At 37.6% G+C, this 20,419-nt stretch overlaps 1 protein-coding gene across 20 annotated transcripts in view, besides 2 other annotated features; it reads right to left on the reverse strand.

The window, feature by feature from the left end:
- The window catches only part of AUH (AU RNA binding methylglutaconyl-CoA hydratase), a 148,096-nt gene that overhangs the window by 61,219 nt on the left and 66,458 nt on the right, over positions 1–20,419 (reverse strand). For 3 of the 20 annotated variants that reach the window (XM_047423529.1, XM_005252072.3, XM_011518800.4), the window contains one exon: positions 12,169–19,756. The exons of the other annotated variants lie outside the window; for them this stretch is intronic. In XM_047423529.1, the coding sequence (XP_047279485.1) occupies positions 19,644–19,756 (113 nt within the window). In that variant the 3' untranslated portion in view covers positions 12,169–19,643. Of the gene's footprint in view, positions 1–12,168; positions 19,757–20,419 lie in introns of those variants that run through there. 20 annotated transcript variants of the gene reach the window in all.
- Positions 7,362–7,531: an enhancer, noted in NCBI's record as "experimental_109279 CRE fragment used in MPRA reporter constructs". NCBI's record gives its function as "activates a minimal promoter by MPRAs in K562 erythroleukemia cells, with activity observed for the non-introgressed 9:94044770 or rs4430195 variant allele {active_cell/tissue: K562}" and the evidence as "EXISTENCE:reporter gene assay evidence [ECO:0000049][PMID:34662402]".
- Position 7,447: a transcriptional cis regulatory region, noted in NCBI's record as "Neanderthal adaptively introgressed variant 9:94044770 (GRCh37/hg19 assembly coordinates) or rs4430195 in the experimental_109279 CRE". NCBI's record gives its function as "modulates activity of the experimental_109279 enhancer by MPRAs in K562 erythroleukemia cells {active_cell/tissue: K562}" and the evidence as "EXISTENCE:reporter gene assay evidence [ECO:0000049][PMID:34662402]".

Genomic DNA, 20,419 nt, shown 5'->3' on the forward strand with positions numbered 1-20,419 from the left:
TAAGTTACAGTAACAATGATGACTAGTACAACACACACTGGGTGGTGATCTACCAGAACCCTTTCAAAGCCTTCTACATGTATTCATTCCTGTCATCCTCCCAATGCCACTATAAAATATGCATGACCACTCTTGCACTTAAGGATTAGGACAGAAACACAGAGAGGCAAGTCACTTTCCCAAAAGGCCACAGAGCAAAGTTTCAGATCCAGGCAGCCCTGCTCCAGGGCTCCAAATCACCACGGAGCAACAGGTGAGGTTAGTGGTTTTGTAACAGCCCATATTTTCTCAATCTCTTTTTGAAACACTGATGTGATACATGACTGATTTCAAAGTAGCTCATTTTAAATATTAGGCATTCTTGGACCTGTGAAAAATTAATCTTAGAGGAGCTCTATGGTGATTTCTCATTTTTCAAACACTTGCTTCTGGCTGGGAATAGAACGGGAACTTCCCTAGGCATGTTTAAAGTTGGCCATAAAAAAAGGTAATGCAAAAGTACAGTTAGATAATTAAATAAGTGTTCTCAACCACTTGACAGAGTGAATCTTAACACGGCATCAGGTAAAAGTTTGCTCCTTTGTTTTCATAAAATGTCAACCACTTCAACAGGCCAAATCTCCAAGCCGAACAGAAATCCCATAACTTATCACCCAAAAGGATGACTATGGCCATTTCCAGAGGCTTTCTCTGCCACTGAAATGCTAGTGATCAAGTGTAATTATTAACAGGTCAAGGAATAAATTGATTCCAGGGCAGTGGAAATTATGTTGATGAAATGAAAAGTGGTCTTGCTGACAATGCATTATCATTTCTAGACAGCACATCTGAACATCAAATCTCACATCATGGAGATGTGCCAAATGCCAGTGACCTAGTTTCATTAGGGTGGGAAAGATAGAGCAATCTATCCTTTGAGACTAGTACCAAAATAGCTTTCTAAAATACAGCTTCATGCATTAAAGGTTTTAAGTGATTGTCCATGGAAGGACAAAAGTAATAACCAGAGCCAATATCAAATACAAATTTCCTTTACGTACCCCATAAGCTAATGGGGTACATAATATTATCTGCATTTCAAAATTTGAAAAAAAAATTAGGAACAGGTCGAGCGCGGTGGCTCATGCCTATAATCTCAGCATTTTGGAAGGCCAAGGCAGGCGGATCACTTGAGACCAGGAGTTTGAAACCAGCCTGGCCAACATGGTGAAACCCTATCTCTACTAAAATTGCAAAAACATTAGCCGGGTGTGGTGGCGGACGCCTGTAATCCCAGCTACTTGAGAAAGCGAAGCACAAGAATCCACTGAACCCCAGAGGCAGAGGTTGCAGTGAGCTGAGACTGCAGATGACAGAGTAAGACCCTGTCTCCCAAAAAAAAAAAAAAAAGAGTATTGCATATACAAAATTGTTATTAATGTGAATTCTCAAAAATATGGCCTATGTCTATCTACAGAGTAATGTGACTTTAATAAAATTATTTTGGACTCTTTTTCCAAACAATAACAAACGAGAACAAAACACTGTAACAGGTCATTATTTTTTCGAAACTCAACAAAGGTTACTGACTCACTTTGCAGCGCCACATCTAAAGAAAAATGCAAGTAATGAAACACTAAACTTTTTTTAAAAAAGGATCTTTATGTGATATGCACAGAAAAACATAAACACTGAACTTACAACATAGCACCATGGAAACAAAACCTGTCACCTTATACACTGGCAAGACTCAAGAACAATAGCTTATAGAACATAGAGGACAAGAAACAAGTCTGGAAGACAATGGGTTTATAAAATATGTTTGCCATGTGGTTTTCTTCCCCAAGTAAAGAATGTGAAAATGGGATAAAATCACCTCTTAAAAGAAATGTATTATACAACACCTGTAATGCCAGCACTTTGGGAAGCTGAGGTGGGAAAATCGTTTGAGCCCAGGAGCTCAAGACCAGCCTGGGCAATATAGCAAGACACTCATCTCCACAAAAATTTTTTTAAAAAACCAGCCAGGTGTGGTAGGGCATACCTGTAATCCCAGCTACTTGGAATGCCGAGATGGGAAGATCAGTTGAGCCCAGGAGTTCCAGGTTACAGGGTAAGACCCTATCTCTAAAAATTAATACTAAGATTTCCACATACCTTTTAAAATGTTAAGGGCTAATAATCTCATCTATAAAAATGGATGCATAAAATACCATTCCAATTTAAGCATATACAGAATCCAGAATTACAATTTAGCATGAAAGAATAATATACCACTACCATGTACAGTTCATTCCAGAAAAGCTAGACTCTGTCAACAATGGAAAATCTATCTAAATAATTCCAGTATCAAAAAATGTAGTATTATCAACATTTCAAGAGAGTTCCTTAACATGATTAAGGAAGTATATCTCAAACTAAAAGCCAGGAGAAGGTTTTATGGTAAAACAGAAGTTTTTTGTAAGAGTTGTAAGTGAAAAGGAAAGGTATCTAAAACCTAACATTAAATCAAAATAGCAAGCTGCAGAAGAGAATGTATAATATAATAATTTTAGGGAAAAAATCTATGTATGTATGTATGTATGAATATATCAGTGTATGCATTTAAAAATTTCTAAATGGCAGGCATCAAATCATTAACAATAATTACTTATTGGGGCTGTTTTCCCTATTGTTTGAATCAAAATCAAGTGACATGAGACAACTACTTTTAAGAAATCCTCAATTACTAAAAGATGAAATTTTGAAATTCCTCAAAATTATTTCCAACTATGATTCTGATTTCCTAATCAGACATTATTAGTGTTTATATATTTTCCTTTTTTTAAAAAAGGTAGCAATATTACTTTTGTCTTTGAATGCTCTGGGAGTTAAATTTGGAAGTAATGCTATTCCTTTCTTATTAACTGAGATTAAAACAGTTTGGTATGCAAGATTCCCCACCAAGGGGACACAGGCTCTGAGGGTAGGGTGCTCAAGGTTTCCCCACTGGAGGAGGCATCGTAGAGGCAGCAGGTGAGTTTTAATGATGAGGTGTCAGGAAAGAAACAGCAGAAGGTAGAAGACCAAGGGGAAGAAATTGTAGGAAAAGAAAACAACGGAGGGCTGGCAACATGCTGCATGAAGTAAGATCACACAATAGCACTGCCACACAAGGGTGCCATGCCTAGCGACCACAGGATCCAGCAATATAGTCACAAAGTCCTACTTTAAAATGAAAAAATAACGGGGAAAGCAAGACACACAAATATAAAAACATTCTAGTTTCACAGTGTAATCTTACGCGTAGCAAAAAGATTATTTTATAAAAGTCAATTTTACATACGTAGTAAAGAAAAGAAACCTGAACACTGAGGATTTTTTTTCCATCTCTTCCACAATCTTGACAGATGGTGCTCACTCTGAGTGACAAGTAACTATAAAAACCAGTAAGTCTATTTCAAAGGAAAAGTGGTCCTTTAAACTACTCATACCAAATGCCTTTTAAGATCGTCACTGTTAAGTCTGATTTCACCTTTGTGGGTAACAAATCTTGGAAGTAGTTTGGCGCGATTTCAACGAATGGAAAAATAGAAAGTCTGGATATACAGTAAGATAACTTTTCTGATTAAGTGGTTGGTCATTTCACAAAAATAATGCAACTGAAGAATAGTGCATTTATTAATTTAATGAATCATAGCCCTTCCTCTTCCAGCCAAGATAGGGTAGCAAAGACTGGATTTACCTTCCTACCTGAAAAACTCAAAAAACAGTTTTCAAGACACTGGATAAGGCAACAAAGGACAGTAACTGTTGAAACAAGCGACATGAGCCCTTAGACTGCCCAACCTAACTTGGATGAATATCAAAATAATTATGCTCAGGAAAAGAACCCAGGCAAAGAAAAGATTCCGTAAGGGATAATAACATTTATGTCAAATTCTGGAAACAAAAGCTAATCTTCAGTGACAGAAAGCAGTTCAGTGGTGGCATGAAAAAACTTTTAAGAGTTTTTTCTCTTCTTCATTATCTTGGTTATGATTTCATGGGTGTATATATGCCAAAACTTATCAAATTATATGCTAAAATATGTGTAGTTTATTGTACATCAATTATAACTTAATAAAGCTGTTAAAGATATTAAAAATGAAGAAAAATTATCGCAAACAACCATTAAGTAACAACAAAAATAAAGTGTTAGTCCTTACAACGTGCCAGGTAATGACATAGGCACTTTACATGTATTATCCTAGTCAATTCTCACAACAACCTATGATATAGGCATTATTATTATCTTTATTGTACAAAAGAAACTGAGATAAATAATACAGAGAAATAACTTGTCTAAAGAAATACAGTTCAGTGATAGAGATGGGATTTCCAACAGTATTAGGCTATTTGTGTTGCTATAAAGAGATACCTGAGAGTAATTTATAAAGAAAAGAGGTTTAATTGCCTCCCAGTTCTGCAGGCTGTACAGGAAGTGCTGTATCAGCATCTGCTTCTGGTGAGGGCCTCAAGAAGCTTACAATCATGGCAGAAGGCAAAGGGGGAGCAGACATCTCATATGGTGAGAGCAGGAGCAAGAGAGCAAGGAGGGGGAAGTGCCACACAGTTTTAAACAACCAGATCACCTGTGAACTCGCTCATCACCAAGGGGACGGTGCAAAGCTGTTCATGGGAAATCTGCCCCAACGATCCAGTCACTTCCCACCAGGCCCCTCCTCCAACACTGCGGGTCACAATTAACATGACATTTGGTGGAAACAAATATCTAAACTCTATCACAAGCCAAGAGGGACCTCACTCCAAAGCACATGCCATGAGCTACTTATTCGACTCCACAGGTAGACATGGCTAGTCATCAGATGTTTAACCATAAATGTTACTGCTGAGCTAGTGTGTTCAGTTTTCTTAAAGGAATGTAAGCTTAACTCTATTATTCCAAATCAGAGTTCTTGTTATCATTAGACTTGACATTTACGTCTGTCGGATGGCATGCTGACAGGTACACACTGAAATATCTCTCTGATGGTAAGTCCAAACAATTCACACCCTGTTTTTCACATTACAGGCACTAGAGGTTCAAAAAAGCAGTCACCAAACTGGAAGGTTTGTAAAAAGTGAATTCAGTTTTATTTTTAAAAGATAAGGGAAATGAACTGCCGCTCTTCTTAATTTATAGGCAGAACTAATTTAACTTCCTTGATTAACTTTCTACATATTCTATTTAATGACTCTGAGAAAAAGGTAGGTCTTTCAACATCTGCTTTCTAGACTGCTTAAAGTGATTCTTGAGACCATTTATTTAACTTGATACAAAAATAAACACTATAGAATATTAAAATGTAAATAAGACCACCTTGATTACTGCTGGATAATAAGAAAGTAACCTGCCACTCATAAAATGAATAACCTGTTTTTTCTAAGAGAGCAAGTTACTAGCAATTTTTAAAAATGAGAGCAATAAACACTGACATAAATTTGAGGTTATAAGGAGGAAATTAAAATACTCATAACCAAAATCACCAATTAATTAGATTCCATTACTTACATAATTTGAACACATAAATAAAGCTAATTTTAATGAAAAAAGGGCAGTTAAAGTAAATAACATACTCATATTATTAATTCTCCAATCTTTTCTGTATAACTATCCTTTGAAGTTAATCTCATTCTCTTTTCTCCAGGAGCAGTAATTTACGCATTCAAATATACACACTGAGGACTTACCAGTGGGCTAGGCCCCTTGGTCTTACACTCGAGAGAACAAGAGATGAGCTTCAAAAACTTAGTTTTACATTTATGATCTATTTTGAGCTAATTTTGGCACAAATTATGAGGTTTACATCAAGGTTCTTTTTTATTATTTTCTGCACATGGAAGTCCAATTTTTCCTACAACACACTTTCTCCATTGAATTGCCTGTGCATTTTCCTCTTTCAGGATTTTTTTAAAAGTCTTGAATTTTAGGGAGTTTATTTATGATGTGTCTGATCGCGGATTTCTCTGGGCTTGTTTAGGTTTACTCAGCTTCTTAAATCCTTATATCTTTCACCAAATTAGGAAAGTTTTCAACCATTATTTCTTTGATTTTTTCCCCCCTGAAATACACTTTCTCCTCTCCTTCTGGAACACTTGAGACACAAATGTTTAACCTTTCAGTATTATCCCACAGGTTCCTACGGTTCAGTTCATTTATTTTACACAATGATTTTTTCTCTGTTGTTCAGACTGAATAATAATTTCTATTGCTCTATCTTCAGATTCACTCACTCTCTCTTTTGTTCATCTTCATTCTGCAATTCAGTCCATCCAGTTTGTTTTTTATTTTGGCAATTTTATTTTTTAATCCTAAGATTTTTATTTGTTGGAGTTACTCTCCTGGAGTTCTCTCTGTCTGTACCAATGTCCATTTCTGTGTTTCAGGATGCCTTTAGAACAGGCCTCTGGAAGGCAGGAAAAAAATGAATCCCACGGTTTTTTATTTTCCACCCAGGCTGCTCTCGAAAACTCCACATCTGTGTAACAGTCTACTTAAAAGTGTACTTGATATTTAATGACCATTTTGAAGCCAACACGTCCAAAACAATATTCTTGATTGTCACTTCCCAACTTGCTTTTTGAATAGCTTTCCACATCTCAGTACAAGGCAACCTCTCTTTTCAGTTACTGCAGCCAGAATCCTTGGAGTCATTCTTTACATCGGTTTCTTTTATGTTACCCATCTAGTCTATCAAGAGATTCTTTTGGCTCCATCTTCAAAAGATACCGAGAATCTAAACCATACCCCACTACTTTCACCATTCCCATCCCAGTAGAGGCCCCTATCACATTCCACTTCAACTACAGCAACAGGCTCGTGGCAGGAATAGGCTTCTTCCTTCTAACCTGGCCCTACTATTGTCTGCTCCTAACACAGTGATGACAATGAACCTTCAAATATCTAAGAGCATGTCACAGCACGTCACACCTCTGCTGAAAAACCTACGGTGAGCCCCCTTCTCACTCAGGGTAAAAGTTAAAAGTCCTGACAGTGGCTATAAGACCTCTAGATCTGACTCCCCTATTGCTTCTCTGACAGTATCTCCTATTGCTCTCCTCCTCCTCCTCTCTGCTCTGGTTGTGGTGATGTGGTGAATGTTCCAAGCACACTCCCATCTAAGGCCTCTTTACTAGTTGATACTTTTGACTGACATGCTTTTCCTCAGATCTGTATGATTAATTTCCTCAACTCCCTTAAGTCTTTATTTCAATGTTACCTTTTAAATGGGGTTTGCTCTGACCTCTTGGTTTTAAACTACAAACCCACACTCTCCTTGGACCCCTTCCCCTATTTTTTTTTTCTATAGCACCTTCCACTTCTGCCATAATACACAATTTATCATGTGCTAGGTCTACTGTTCCTGTGCTAGAAGGTAACTGCTTGGTGGCAGGATCTTCCTCTGCTTGTTCACGGCTGTATCCCCAGTGTCCACATCAGCACATGACTCAACAAATGTCTGCTAAGGCAAGTGAGTAAACATGCCTGGAAAACAGTATGTGAGCAGGAGGAGCAGTGGTAGGAGCTGAGGTCAGAGAAGTAGCCAGGGACCCACCTTGCAGGACATGTCATCTATTAAATCTTGGTGATGGCTCCGATCCCACGGAAATACAAACTACCATCAGAGAATACTATAAACACCTCTATGCAAATAAACTAGAAAATCTAGAAGAAATGGATAAATTCCTGGACACATACACCCTCCCAAGACGAAACCAGGAAGAAGCTGAATCCCTGAATAGACCAATAACAGGCTCTGAAATTGAGGCAATAATTAATAGCCTACCAACCAAAAAAAGTCCAGGACCAGACGGATTCACAGCCAAATTCTACCAAAGGTACAAGGAGGAGCGGGTACCATTCCTTCTGAAACTATTCCAATCAACAGAAAAAGAGGGAATCTTCCCTAACTCATTTTATGAGGCCAGCATCATCCTGATACCAAAGCCTGGCAGAGACACCACAAAGAAAGAGAATTTTACACCAATATCCCTGATGAACATCGGTGCAAAAATCCTCAATAAAATACTGGCAAAACGAATCCAGCAGCACATCAAAAAGCTTATCCACCATGATCAAGTGGGCTTCATCCCTGGGATGCAAGGCTGGTTCAACATATGCAAATCAATAAACGTAATCCAGCATATAAACAGAACCAAAGACAAAAACCACATGATTATCTCAATAGATGCAGAAAAGGCCTTTGACTAAATTCAACAACCTTCATGCTAAAAACTCTCAATAAATTAGGTATTGATGGGACGTATCTCAAAATAATAAGAGCTATTTATGACAAACCCACAGCCAATATCATACTGAATAGGCAAAAACTGGAAGCATTCCCTTTGAAAACTGGCACAAGACAGGGATGCCCTCTCTCACCACTCCTATTCAACATAGTGTTGGAAGTTCTGGCCAGGGCAATCAGGCAGGAGAAAGAAATAAACGGTATTCAATTAGGAAAAGAGGAAGTCAAATTGTCCCTGTTTGCAGATGATATGATTGCATATTTAGAAAACCCCATTGTCTCAGCCCAAAATCTCCTTAAGCTGATAAGCAACTTCAGCAAAGTCTCAGGATACAAAATCAATGTGCAAAAATCACAAGCATTCCTATACACCAATAACAGACAAACAGAGAGCCAAATCATGAGTGAACTCCCATTCACAATTCCTTCAAAGAGAATAAAATACCTAGGAATCCAACTTACAAGGGATGTGAACGACCTCTTCAAGGAGAACTACAAACCACTGCTCAATGAATAAAAGAGGACACAAACAAATGGAAGAACATTCCATGCTCATAGATAGGAAGAATCAATATTGTGAAAATGGCCATACTGCCCAAGGTAATTTATAGATTCAATGCCATCCCCATCAAGCTACCAATGACTTTCTCCACAGAATTAGAAAAAACTACTTTAAAGTTCATATGGAAAAAAAAAAAGGGCCCGCATTGCCAAGACAATCCTAAGCCAAAAGAACAAAGCTGGAGGCATCATGCTACCTGACTTCAAACTATACTATGAGGCCACAGTAACCAAAACAGCATGGTACTGGTACCAAAACAGAGATACAGACCAATGGAATCGAACAGAGCCCTCAGAAATAATACCACACATCTACAACCATCTGATCTTTGACAAACCTGACAAAAACAAGAAATAGGGAAAGAATTCCCTATTTAATAAATGGTGCTGGGAAAACTGGCTAGCCATATGTAGAAGGCTGAAACTGGATCCCTTCCTTATAACTTATACAAAAATTAATTCAAGACGGATTAAAGACTTAAATGTTAGACCCAAAACCATAAAAACCCTAGAAGAAAACCTAGGCAATACCATTCAGGATACAGGCATGGGAAAGGATGTCATGTCTAAAACACCAAAAGCAATGGCGACAAAAGCCAAAATAGACAAATGGGATCTAATTAAACTAAAGAGCTTCTGCACAGCAAAAGAAACTGCCATCAGCGTGAACAGGCAACCTACAGAATGGGAGAAAATTTTTGCAATCTACTCATCTGACAAAGGGCTAATATCCAGAATCTACAATGAACTCAAATAAACTTACGAGAAAAAAAACAAACAACCTCATCACAAAGTAGGCGAAGGATATGAACAGACACTTCTCAAAAGACATTCATGCAGCCAACAGACACATGAAAAAATGCTGTATCACTGGCTATCAGAGAAATGCAAATCAAAACCACAATGAGATACCATCTCACACCAGTTAACATGGTGATTATTAAAAAGTCGGGAAACAACAGGTGCTGGAGAGGATGTGGAGAAATAGGAACACTTTTACACTGTTGGTGGGACTCTAAACTAGTTCAACCACTGTGGAAGACAGTGTGGCAATTCCTCAGGGATCTAGAACTAGAAACACCATTTGACCCAGCCATCCCGTTACTGGGTATACACCCAAAGGATTATAAATCATGCTGCTATGAAGACACATGCACACGTATGTTTATTGCGGCACTATTCACAATAGCAAAGACTTGGAACCAACCCAAATGTCCATCAATGATAGACTGGATTAAGAAAATGTGGCATATACACACCATGGAATACTATGCAGCCATAAGAAATGATGAGTTCATGTCCTTTGTAGGGACATGGATGAAGCTGGAAATCATCATTCTCAGCAAACTATTGCAAGGACAAAAAACCAAACACCACATGTTCTCACTCATAGGTGGGAACTGAACAATGAGAACACTTGGACATAGGAAGGGGAACATCACACACTGGGGCCTGTCATGGGGTGGGGGAAGGGGGGAGGGATAGCATTAGGAGACACACCTAATGTAAATGACAAGTTAATGGGTGCAGCACACCAACATGGCACATGTATACATATGTAACAAATCTGCACATTGTGCACATGTACCCTAGAACTTAAAGTATTAAAAAAAAAAAATCTTGGTGATGGCTGACAGAAGCCACACTGTTTTTCTGAACTCATTGACTCCCAGCTTTATATTGCCTTATCCCTGTTTGACTACAACAACAGTATTATAAAGGGCAGTTATGATGTTTGCTCACGTTTCATCTCTCCTAACAGATTTTAGGTGATCAATTCCAAGGGAGCATTACTAAGTCCTACATAAACCTGTTTATTCCACAGCTACTAACAAAATGGTCTGTACACAGTACAAAGTCAGCAAATAACTCCCAAACCACCCTAATTACACAAAAAGAACTAGTCACTGAATTACACTTTAATGTATAAAAAGATGAGACTTCATAGTGTGTGCTCGTGTATACGCAAGGTATGTTAATAATGTTAATATGTTAATAAATACACTGGACTTCAGAAGGCTGAATCAGTGCCAGCTTTAAGGAAGTCACCTGGGGAAGTGCTACACTAAACCCAACTACTCTGTTCTTTCTTCACATCGGTAAAATGTCAACATTATGTAAGCCTCTTTTTTAAAAAAAATCGTTTTGTTATGCTTTTTTTTCTTCCTGGAATAGTATGACCTTATTAATCATATTTGGCACAGAATGATCTTTTGATATTTATGAAAATCAAATTTACCCTCACAGGATAAAAATGAGTCACTGCTGAGGATATTTAAAAGAATAAGCTCAGATTCTGACGGAACTTCTAAAAGGATCTCAACAAAGGTTATAAACAAAGCCTTTCAAAATGACTACTGTGTTCAGGACTACACACACTCACAGGATTTAAAATCGAGTTCCAGGAAAACATGCCAAAAGACTGCCCTACTGCTGAACACAGCCAACAATGATGTACAGTAATGCCCCCAGATCCCTCACCCAGGGAGGGGAAAAAAAGACAAAACTGGAGTTGGTCTCTTTTTCTGGTTCCATGAAACCTCTGTGCTCTAATTTTCCTTCTTCCTTTCTTTTTAAATTTGGAAATAGTCAGCCAATGGTAATTACTATAGCTTCTTTTCCTGAAAAGTTTCTAAGATAATCCTAAAAATATGCCCACATTTGTCACTACCCCAACCAAATGATCAAAGATATTATCACCCAAAGTGGGATGACCTAACATTAGGAATCACATAATAAACACAAAATGAAACATGCAGCATTGACATTTTAATGTTGTTGGCAAAATGTCTTACCCTAAACCTAACCATGAGGAAATATTAAGTTAAATCTAGAATGAGCAAGACTCAGACAATCGCCTGAATTCTCTAAAAAAAAAAAAAAAAAATCTATCTATCTACCTATCTACCTACCTACCTAACTACCTATCGTGTTTGTATGGGGACACTGAGGAGATGTTAGCCAAAGTACACAAACTTTAGACATGAGGAATAAGTTCAAAAGATCTACTGTATGTCATGGTGACCACAGGTAATGATAACATATTATATACCTGAAAATTGCTAAGAGTAGATCTTATATGTTCTCACCCCATATATACACACACACTAATGAGTATATGAGGCAATACATGCTAATTAGCTTAATTTAATCACTTCACAATGTGTGTGTGTAGATATATATAAAAACACTCTACATAGAATTTTTACTTGTCAATTAGAAAAATAAAATACTTAATCCTTTAAAAAAAATGGGTAAGTATCATGTTTCAGGTTAAAAGAAAAGTTACCATCACCAAACATGAGACACAGGGACATCATGCAACCCCAATAGGATGCCCTGAGAAGAACACAAATTCTTGCCAAAAATGAATAATCTTAATTTATTCATGAGGAAACATTAGGCAAACTCAAAAATAAAAGACATTCCACATAATTACAGACTGGCACTCTTCTAAATTGTCAAGATGATTAAATACAAATTTATACACTGATTAAATACAAGAGACAAAGGAGACACACCAACTAAATGCAACGTGGAGGCCTCAACTGTCTTGAACCAGAAAAAGGACACTTGTGAGAAAAGTGACAGCATTTGAGTAAGGTCTACAGATTAGTTAGTAATAACATACCAGTATTAACTGTCTACTTTTGTTAACTGTGGTACAGTTCTATAACATGTTAATATTTGAGGAAGCTGGGTAAAGCGTACATAAGAGTGATTTATACTATCTTTGTAACTATTCTGTAAATCTGAAATTACTGCAACATGAAAAGTTAAATTAGTGTTATAGAAAACAAAAAACATGAATGAGGTACTCTTTCAAATTTGAAAAAACTACAGATTTAACCAAATGAAAAATTAATCCTGAACTGGAAAAACAAAATACAAAAAGACGGCTACAGACAACTGGAGAAATCCAATTATGAATCATATATTAAATAATATTACTAAATTCCTGTTAATATTCTTGGGTGTGATAATAGTGTTGATTATGTAAGAGACCATTCTTGATTCTTAGAAAACGTATGCTGAAATATTGAAAGACTCATCTATATTTTGAAATGTTTCTATGAGAAAGAAGGATTTGGGGAATGGAAGGAGAAAGAAAATGGAAGGAATAGATCTTTGTAAAGGGTATAAAAATGTGTGTTTTACTGCTATTCAAACTTCCTAGTTTGAATATGCCTCCCCCCAGAAGCTGGGGGGAATAAAAAAGGAATTCACAGAGCAGTGGAAATACAAAGCATCTCAATCCCAGTGGTGTACACCCAAGCAAAAAGCCTTAACAAATTACCTTAGTAATAATAAGGTTTCCTGACACAGACCCCAAAACCTCCAGTAGAAGAGGTAAGAACAAAGAGCGGGAATTAGAAAATCTGCCACTATTTTCTCTGTAAATTTAAAGAGATACTGTCAAATAAAAGGATCTTAATCCTCTGAACTTGTATTTCATCCTTGCAAATGTATTAAAGGAAAGTACTGTTTTAGGAACTATTTCTAAAAGAGAATTTTATTTTATAATATTTGCATATTCTCCCAGTTGGGAGAGGATAGGAAATGTAAATGCTTTCTTAAAGGTGAGAACGTTGGAGACGAAACTAGGGCTATATATTGTACAAAAATCCCCAATAAAATTACGACAAGGTTCTGGGGTAACCATTTAAATTATTTTTAAATGGGCCAGTGCTTCAAATCAATAGTGTTTCACTTTGTGTTTAATATTGGTAATCAAAAACATATATACACATATATATATTACAAATAAAAGCATTGGTTCAAGTATTTGATAGTCAAATTACATCCCATCTTTTAATTACATCTGATATAACTACTACTTAAGGAGGTTCGATTTTGTTTTAATGTTTCCACATTCCTTCACGTCTTTCTTTTTATTGCACTATATACTTTTAATAGTCATTTGATACTAAACAATATTCTTTCTAATAAAAACTAAAATTGAGCCTTCTAAATTAAAAACTACATGATAGCAGTGGTCCATTAATATGTTCAATAGAAATATTACCATCTCTTCAAAGTCATTATTTTATAATAGCATTTTTTTAATTTACAAAACATACCTTAAAAATCAACATATTGCTACGCAGGTCAAAGCTCAGGTAAAGAAAACAAAACAAAACAAAACACTATTTTTTGACAAATTGTTTTGCTGTGAACTGCTATCAGAAAAGGCCAGAAGTGATGATATGACAATCAATAGCATCACATTAATTCTCTTGTCTTTATCAAATGTACAGTAAATTCAAATAAGGAGATACAATTTCATTTGGATTAACTTACAAATGCTGGCCAGTATGAAATCATGGACCTGTAATAACTTAGCAGAAGATTATTTGCCAGATTTTAAACATCTGTTTTCTAGAGTGGCTACAATTCATGTATTTTACCCAAAGATATTTACTTTCTACATAATATTAAGAAGAAAAATTAAGCATCTATTTTTTCCACAATATTTTCCCCATATTTGAATTCTCCCCACTTATTTTCTATTTTTTTGGCTGTCAGCACCTGCTCATCTGGAAAAGAGGAAGAGCTAAGGCAGCTACAGTGGAGCAAGGCTCACTGGCAATGGCCAAGCCTTCCCTGCAGAGTGCACCCCTGGCTGCTCATACAAGCTTCTATAATAGGAGGCAAGTGACGCATTTTCTTTTAACCAAAAGAGATCTACCAAGAAGGGAGAAAAAAATTAAATACAGTCTACTGTGTCTATTATAGAAAGCTCTTTACAACATTTAACAGAAATGTTTATACCCAAAAGGAGGATATCTCAGAGATCACTTTAGGCATGGCAAAATTCACCAATTTAAAAACACAATTTTTGAAAAAAGCAGTCTTTTCATATCATCTACAACAAAGGAAAGAGGAGAAAGGAGATGGCAAAAATATCTATGGATAAAAAATCTTCTGTGGATGGAGCAGAAGAAGATTTTTCTACATAAAAATTTCAGAATAGCTCCTTTAGGTAATAAACACAAAAACGTATTTTTAAAATAAAATCTCTGCTGTTTCAAAAGAACAGGCATCACCTAGGGTACTTTAAGAACTGTAATATTAATTTAAAAGTAGACCAAAAATTCTGTGCATCTCTTATCTAAATGTGAATACTATTGAAATTTTTATTAATAACGAAAATGAATCTGATTTTCATTTACATTAAAAAATTCAAAGCTACATAACATTTTATGAGCTATGAACTTGAAAGCTTCATGGTATTAAAAGAGGAACTAAAATACATTCCTCAAACTCACTTAGGACAAAAGAGGTCAGAGGCAGTGGCTCATGCCTGTAATCCCAGCACTTTGGGAAGCCAAGGCAGGAGGATTGCTTGAGGCCAGAAGTTCAAGACCAGCTTGGGCAACATAGTGAGACCCTGCCTCTACAAAAAGAGAAGAAAATTAGCCGAGTGCAGTGCTGTGTGCCTATAGTCCCAGCTACTCCAGAGGCCGAGGTGGGAAGATCTCGAACCCAAGAGTTTGAGGCTGCAGTGAGCTATCATTACATCGCTGTCCTTTAGCCTGGGTGACCAAGCAAGACCCTGTCTCCAAACAAAAAAAAGAAAGAAAAGAAAAAGACAACCATCCTTTGTAAGTACATGGGAATATGTCAAAGCATTCTGACTTTTATGACAAATTTATTTAATAGAAACTAGAAAAATAATTCTATTTGTCAGAATATGTAGTCCAAATTCAATCAAACCTACAAAAAGTAGGTTCTAATTAATGCAGCCACTATTGCAGAGGACTCTAAAGAACTTAAGTATATTGGGAAAAAATTCTAGTTTCTAGACCTCATATGGTATGGCACAGTGAGTTCACAAGACAAGACAGAAGAGGTTGTTATAGCATAATCTATCTTTTCTCATCTAATCAAACCAAACACTGCTCTCTATCTTCTGGTAGTTGTAACACAAAACTTTTCATAATCAAGTCACAGTAAATATCCAAATTACCAAGTTCATCTTGCTCCCTCCCCAAATTTCTGCCACCTACTAACCCCCATCTGTCCCCAAAAATCATGTAAACATCACCAAAAAGTCGCTGTATTCATTGCTATAACAAATTGCCATAAACCTGGTACCTCTGAACAACTGAAATTTATTCTCTCTCAGTTTTGGAGGCCAGAAATCCAAAATCAAGGTGTTTGTAGTGTGGTTCCTTCGAGAGGCTCTGTGAGAAAATCTGTTCCATGCCTCTCACCCATGGCTTCCCGTGGCTGCCGACAACCCTTGGCATTCCTTGGCATGTAGATGTATTACTGCACTCTGTTTCTGTCTTCGCATCACCTTCTCTTCTTCTGTGCCTTCCTCTTTCTTATAAGGACCCCTTGTCTTTGGATTTAAGCCTCTCTCAGATAATTCAGGATGATCTCATCTTGAGATCCTTAATTACACGTGCAAGATGCTTTTCCTTCCAGGCTGACATCTCTTGGTGTCTGTTGGGGGGGTGGGGGTGGAGGCGGCATGCCATCCAACCCACTACAGCCACTATCTTTCTATCTTCTAGGATTAATCACATCCTCATTACCAACAAATGCTTACTTCTCAAAAGAATTTCAGAAATATGTCACATCACCCTTTTGCTAAATTTTGCTTTATTTCACATATTAGTTATCTGGGAATTCTTTTTAAATTGATCCACTGTCTTATAAATCCTTCTGGTGTTTTTTATTAGTCACAGTGAAAAAGGCAGGCATAATAGAGTAAGTATATATTAAATGTTTTGGCCTACAAGAATAACATTTTCATCAATTACCAAAGTAGAAAACATGGGGAGTCTTACACATTCATCTGGGCAGTCTTCAATTTCACTGTAACCTATGTTTTAAATTTCTACCTATCAGAATAAATACTCTTTTAATGATAAGGTTAACCACACAATTTTAACCAATTCATATGCAAGTATGTCTTCCATGTTCAACACTGAGTTTAATATTTACATTGTTACTGTTGTTTCATTCATACTCTAAGCATCATTTAGCATACATAAAAGGTACCATGAGCCAAGATTGTGCCATTGCACTCCAGTCTGGCGACAGAGTGAGACTCCGTGTCAAAAAAAAAAAAAAAAAAAAAAAAGTTCCAAGGAAGGTTACTATAACATGCATATCCTTAAATGAAGTCTACTTTTTGAAAGAATGACTTCACAAAATGGGAATGCCTCCAAATTCTCTGAATCAAAAGACCAAAAATTTCAGATTTATTGGGTGATGCAAGATTTCATTATCAATTTTGGAAAGATGTTTTCTTAAACGGCTCTTTCAAGAACAGAAGCTCATCTATTTTTTTCATAGGAATAGAAGAAACAACACCTCTTCAGCTCTAAGTTCAGGCTACCCACTAACCGCAACTTTTGTCCCACTGCAGAGAAACACAAGAAAGGTGGTACAAAGCCTGGGAACCCTCTTTTTTTTTTTTTTTTTTTTGAGACGGAGTCTCGCTCTGTCACCCAGGCTGCTGGAGTGCGGTGGTGTGATCTCGGCTCACTGCAATTTCCACCATCTGGGTTCAAGCAATTCTCCTGCCTCAGCCTCCCAGGTAGCTGTGATTACAAGCACGCACCACCATGACTGGCTAATTCTTCTATTTTTAGTAGAGACGGGGTTTCACCAGGTTGGCCAGGCTGGTCTCAAACTCCTGACCTCAAGTGATCCACCCGCCTCGGCCTCCCAAAGTGCTAGGATTACAGGCATAAGACACCGCACCCAGGCACCTCTCTTCTTCTTCCACTTGGGGTTTCACTGTCTGCATGAAGCTGTTGGTGAGGACACACACATTTAAATGCACGCATAAAAGCTTTAAAATATTTGTGTAATCCTTTAGGAAAATAGATCCAAACAGTGACAAAAATGTAATTAGCACAGTAACTTAAAACTTAAGAACTACCATCTTCACTGTCTACGTAAGCTAAAAATAGGGCATACAGGCATACCTCATTTTGTCGTGCTTCCCTTTATTGTACTTCACAGATACTACATTTTTACAAATTAATGGTAACCCTGCATCAAGCAAGTCTATTGGCACCATTTTTCCAACAGTATGTGCTTACTTCATGTCTCTGTGCCATATTTTGGTAATTTTCACAATATTTCAAACCTTTTCATTATTGTATCTCTTATGGTAACCTGTGATCATTAATCTTTGTTGTTACTACTGTAATTATTTTGGGGCACCATGAACCACGCCCACATAGGATGGCAAACTTAACCAATAAATGCATGTATTCTGACGGCTCAACCAACGGGCTGTTCCCCCATCTCTCTCCCTTTCCTTGGGTCTCTCTATTCCCTGAGACAAAACAGTATTGAAATTAGGCCAATGAATAACCTTCCAGTGACTTCTGCAGTGTTCAAGTAGAGCAAAGATCCACACGTCTCTCACTGGAAATCAAAAACTAGAAATGATTAAGCTTAGTGAGGAAGGCATGTCAAAAGCTGAGATCAGCCAAAAGCTAGGCCTCTTGCACCACTTAGGCTTAGTTGCCAATGCAAAGCAACGTTTCTTGAAGGTAATTAGAAGTGCTACTCCAGTGAACACAGGAATAAGAAGAAAGCAGAATAGCCTTATTGCTGATATGCAGAAAGTTTTAGTGGTCCGTAAAGAAGATCAAACTAGCCACAACATTCCCCTAAGCCAAAGCCTAATCCAGAGCAAAGCCCTAACTCTCTTTAACTATAACTCTTAACTCTCTTTAATTCTAGAGTTAAGTCTGAGACAAGTGAAGAAGCTGCAGAAGAAAAGTTGGAAGCTAGCAGAGGCTACTTCATGGTTAAGGAAAGAAGCCATCTACCGTAACACAGAAGTACAAGGTGAAGCAGCACGTGCTGATGTAGAAGCTGCAGCAAATTATCCAGAAGATCTAGCTAAGATCACTGATGAAGGTGCCTACACTGAATAACACATCTTCAGTGTAGACAAAACAGCCTACTATTAGAAGAAGATGTTATCCAGGACTTTCATAGCTACAGAAGAGAAGTCAATGCCTGGCTTCAAAGCTTCAAAGGACAGACTGACTCCCTTGTTAGGGACTAATGCAGCTGGTGGCTTTTAGTTAAAGCCACTGCTCACTTATCATTCCCAAACTTCTAGAGCCCTTAAGAACTATGCTAAGTTAACTCTGCTTATGCTTTATAAATGGAACAAATAAAACCTGGATGACAGTGCATCTGGTTTCCAGCATAGTTTACTGAATACTAAAGCCCACTGCTGAGACCTACTGCTCAAAAAAAAGAGTTCTTTCAAAATATTACTGTTCAGTGACAATGTCCTGGTTACCCAAGAGCTCTGACAGAGACAGACAAGGAGATGAATGTTGTTTTCATGCCTGATAACATAACAGCCATTCCACAGCCCATGGATCAGTCTACTTTCAAGTCTTATTATTTAAGACACACATTTCAGGCTGGGCGTGGTGGCTCACGCCTGTAATCCCAGCACTTTGGGAGCTTGAGGCAGGCAGATCATGAGGTCAAGAGATCAAGACCATCCTGGCCAACATGGTGAAACTCCGTCTCTACAAAAAATACAAAAATTAGCTGGGCACGGTGGTGTGCACCTGTAGTCCCAGCTACTCAGGAGGCTGAGGCAGGAGAATCCCTTGAACCGGGGAGGCAGGGGTTGCAGTGAGCCGAGATCACACCACTGCACTCCAACCTGGCAACAGAGCGAGACTCCGTCTCAAAAAAACAAAACAAAACAAAAACCACATTTCATAAGGCTATAGCTGCCATAGACAGTGATTCCTCTTATGGATCTGGGCAAATTAAATTGAAAACCTTCTGGAAAGGATCTGCCATTCTAGATCCCTTTAAGAACATTCATGATTCATGGGAAGAGGCCAGAATATCAATATTAACAGGAGTTTGGAAGATGATGATTCCAATCTTCATGGATGACTTGGAGGGATTCAAGACTTCAGTGGAGGAAGTCACTACAGATGTGGTGGAAAGAGCAAGAGAAATAGAATTAGAAGAGTAACCTGAAGACGTGACTGAATTTCTGAAGTCTCATTATAAAACTGGAATGGATGGGGAGTTGCTTCTTGTGGATTGATCTGGTTTGGCTGTGTCCCCACCCAAATCTCATCCTGAATTGTAGCTCCCATAATTCCCACATGTTGTGGGAGGGATATGGTGAGAGATCACTGAACCATGGAGGCGGGTTTCCCCCATACTATTCTCGTCGTGGTGAATAAGTCTCAGGAAATCTCATGCTTTTTTTAATAAGGGGTTTCCCTTTTCCCTTGGCTTTCATTCTCTCTGGACTGCCTCTACGTAAGACATGCCTTTGCTCTTCCTTTGCCTTCTGTCATGACTGTGAGGACTCCCCAGCCATGTAGAACTGTGAGTCCATTAAACCTCTTTCCTTTATAAATTACCCAGTCTCGCATATGTCTTTATTAGCTGCATGAGAACAGACTAATACATGGACAAATAAAGAAAACAGTTTCTTGAGATGGAATCTACTCCTGATAAAGATGCTGTGAACACTGCAGAAATGACAACAAAGGATTTAGAGTATTACATAAACTTAGTTGATAAAGCAGTGGCAGGGTTTGAGGATTGATTCCAATTTTGAAAGAATTATGAGTAAA

This window comes from Homo sapiens, chromosome 9, assembly GCF_000001405.40.
Source record: "Homo sapiens chromosome 9, GRCh38.p14 Primary Assembly".
In the NCBI taxonomy this organism is placed as follows: Eukaryota; Metazoa; Chordata; class Mammalia; order Primates; family Hominidae; genus Homo; species Homo sapiens.